Source organism: Homo sapiens, chromosome 11 (assembly GCF_000001405.40).
Source record: "Homo sapiens chromosome 11, GRCh38.p14 Primary Assembly".
In the NCBI taxonomy this organism is placed as follows: domain Eukaryota; kingdom Metazoa; phylum Chordata; class Mammalia; order Primates; family Hominidae; genus Homo; species Homo sapiens.
In genome coordinates, this window is record NC_000011.10 from 128,051,243 (window position 1) to 128,054,954 (window position 3,712).

Consider the following 3,712-nt stretch of genomic DNA (forward strand, 5'->3'; position numbering starts at 1 on the left):
TGTGTGTGTGTGTGTGTGTGTGTGTGTGTGTGTGTGTAGTTTTGGTAGTAACAAGGGCAAAAGAAAATAAAAGTAAAAAACACTACTTGCTTCCCCTCAAACATGTGAGGAATAGCAGGCCTCATATATGTATTCTGAATGTCTGAATGCACTATAATAAAAGACTTTTGATCCAGTGAACAAAGAGATCGGTTTTGTTTTGGCTTTTTTTTTTCTTTTCCTGTGAGGGTGCTGTGGGGCAGGTGATGGTGAACAGGAACATGAATCAGAAAAGAAGCAAGAGTCCAAAAGGCAGTGATGGGGTCTCACAAGTTGAAAGTGGGAAGAAGAAAAAAACAAATTATTGTATTTCTTTATTCATTTCTCAACAGACTTTTTTAGTTGTTTCTTCATCTTAGCTGTTTTGAATGATGCTGCCGTGAGCATGGAGGGCAGCTGTCTCTTCAAAACTCTTCTTTCATTTCCTTGGGGGGAAACATAAAAGAAGAGAATCACGTTCTTGGAAATCAGACGGATGAGTGTGCAAAAGAGAACAGGAAAGAACCAAAATAAGGATGAAATACTTTGGAGAAGAGAAGAATGAAATCCATGAGAAACAAAAGCAAAAGTGACAAACAGGGAAGAGTGCTGAGTTCATAGGAAATTTATGTTTTCTTTCTGGAAATTTTAAGTGGCTTGCATGATTGTGAGGTAAGAGTTCTCAATAAGTTAAATACATTTTAAAATAAAAATTTAAAAGGCTATCAAATGTGATGATTTATGTGAAAATATTCTCCAAAATTATAAAATGCTGTTGAGGAGCTAGATATTATTGTTGCTATTACCATTGATGACATTTTCTGTGGTGTCATTCCTGGCAGGCCACCAAGTGATTTTACTCAGCTCCATCATATTTGGGGGCTATGGTTCCATGTTAGATAAAATCACCTGTCCTTCCACTCCTCTGAATACAGTCGAATGGATATTATCTACTGATGTCAACTACAATCTTATAATAAAAGAAATAGTGAGCTATTTTCCACTTTTATTTAATATGGAATATGAGAAAATGATCATAAATTACAGCAAGAGTGATTTAGGTTCAGAATGGCAAAAAGAATATTTTCTTGCTGTTTATGCATGGAAACCGATTACTCGGGAAATAGAACTATCTCTTTCCCAGCGATAACAAGAAATTGTTTCCTGCTTATTTTCAGTTGTTTAGAAGAGGGCACTTGGAGGTGGACTGGGCTGCTGAAGGGGGTCATTTTGAGAGACCTGTTGAAATCCTCAAGCTGTATTATATAAATACAAGATGTGCTATTGAGATGTGCTATTAAGCTAGACACCTACCAGTGCTTCAATCCTATGCATCCTCAAGTAGCCTTCAACAGTTAATACAAGTTTTAAAATACCTTTAGTTCTGAAAATTGTTGAAAACGTTGAGAGTGAAAACATTGAAAAATCTCAAGTATTTCAGGTAATAAAGAAATCATTACTGGATTTTTCTGTTTTCAATTGCTATTTCATTTATTTTCCTCACTCAAAACATTCTTTGCCCAGGCTGATGCAACTTAGTTTGCTTTATTCACCCAAAATATAGGACTTGATGTTTCCTTCCTTATACAACTTCCTACTCAAATCCCCTATCTTCCTTAAAGGCCGTGAAGGTGTTCTCTGCTTCCTTATCCTTTCAACCAGTCCCAGAAAGTTGTTTCCCTTTTCGTTAAGAGGCATAAAAATGTCAGTGCCACTGAATATACAATATCTTTATTCTCATCATCTAGGAGACAGGATGTGGTTAGGGTGTTAAATGTCAGGCATGTCAGATTTCACTTCCTGCTTCATAATCAATCCAATATGGGTCTACCAGGTCCCTGTTATATCCAAGCTTTTCCAAGATCTTGCTTCTAATCTGACCTGGACTGCTCTTACTTCAATTACCCAGGGACAAAGTTAACAATACCTGGCAATAACCCTCCCCTTCATCTACCTCCTGGCCCTTCTTCCATCTCCAGGGTTATAAAAATGAAGGAAATGTGTTACGACTGATTCACATGGCTTGGGAGTTGCTTGCTGGATGATTTCATAGTCTGGCTATTAGCTGTGAAGAAATATAATACCATCTTTACATATCTGGTTTTAGTTGGGAGGGAAAGGCTCAAATTAAAGCCTCAAGAGAGGCAGAGGGAATGGAGTGAAAGAGCATTAGAATTCTGGGGACTCAGTCTGATGATTTAGTAGGATGATTAGATGGAGTATTTATCCTGCTAATGTTGGTGTTTGATGCTCCAGTTTTTTTACTTGTGGTTTGTGTGCCAGGGTGGGAAGTGACTCTGGGGAATACCATGCTGGCTTAGGTGGAAGGAAATACTGGGGAGAGAATGCACAGCTTTTTGGCTGGTTGATTTCCCCTGGTGGAGGGGTTAATGATGAGGTTGGCAGCCAAAAAGCCAGAGCTCTTGGGTTCAACTTTAGATCCCATTACCGCATTGATGGGTGGTCTTGAGACAAAATCCTGTAATGGTTAAGAGGTTGGGCTCTGGGATCAGGCTGATGAACGCTCAAGCTCTGTGGCCTTGTGAAAATAAGCCCCATGTCTTTGTGTCTCAGTTTTCTTAAGTAAAAAAAGCAGATAATAATTGTGTTTAAATGAGATAAGGTATGAATTGTGCTAAGCGTAGTGCCTGAAACATGAAGACAGCTCAAAATGAGAAGGAGGAGGACAATGGAAATAAAACAGAATATCTGGATTTCTTTTTCTTTTTGATTCAGCAAATTTTTATTGAATGCCTATTATGAATCAATAAGTGCACATGATATTTTGAATGAAAAAAGGGCACCTTGAACACAGCTCTCACCCTGGAGACTTACCATCTCACTGAAAAAAAAAAATTAAATATCAGGCTACTTAAGTAAATGTGATGAGAGTTTAAGAATTCAGGAAAGAGGGTAACTATACATTGGAGTAAAGAATGTCATGAAAATATTTAAAATATTTAGGGTAAATTAGAAAATATTTTGTGGTTTCCATGAAACTATTGGAAACAGCAGTTATAGAGAAGAGAACTAACCTTGAATTAGAGGGTATGGATTTAAATTCAGTGGCTCTGTCACCTTTTTGTGTTGTCCTGGGGACTCTTTCACCTCTCTTTATTTGAGTTTCCACATCTGTAAAATTAATATAAGAGATGATGCATGGATTTCATGAGCATAGAGCAGGATCACATACATGTGCTTTGCACTAGGGAATATTCAAGAAGTAAATATGAAACAAACGCTTACTTCCTCTGTCTCTCTTCCTTTCTCTTTCTTTTTGTCAGAGCGACAGTGGCTCTCATTTGATTCCCTCAGTTCCTATGCTATTTGTGTGGAAATAAGCAGATTCACAGTTAAAAAACCATTCATATGTGTGCCAGGATGATTCACTGGACATGTCCTATTTCTCTTGCATCTTTCCACAGCCTCTTGAGTGCTCCCTGACCAGAGTTGCTGCCACATAAGGTGCAGGTGGATGGAGCCAGGGCTTGCTGCTTGAATGTCTGCCATCTGCTCTTGTCTCTGCAAGAGCTTCACTGGGTGAGGCTAGTTTACTCACCCTACAGTCTAGAAAGAGTTTACAATGCTAATTCCTGCTTCAGGGAAGCTATAGGAAGATGACTTAGCACCAGAAGTTGAAGATTCTTCCAGAGGAAAAGCCCTGTCTCAGTTTTACATAAGACTTTTTACTGTG

At 38.3% G+C, this 3,712-nt stretch overlaps 1 long non-coding RNA gene across 1 annotated transcript; it reads right to left on the reverse strand.

Moving 5' to 3' along the window:
* Positions 1-340: 340 nt before the first annotated feature.
* On the reverse strand, positions 341-3,493 carry LOC107984374 (uncharacterized). The gene is made up of 2 exons (XR_001748082.2): positions 3,054-3,493; positions 341-464 (listed from the first exon to the last, which is right to left on the reverse strand). It is a non-coding gene; the product is annotated as an uncharacterized LOC107984374 (long non-coding RNA).
* Between the last annotated feature and the right edge of the window lie 219 nt (positions 3,494-3,712).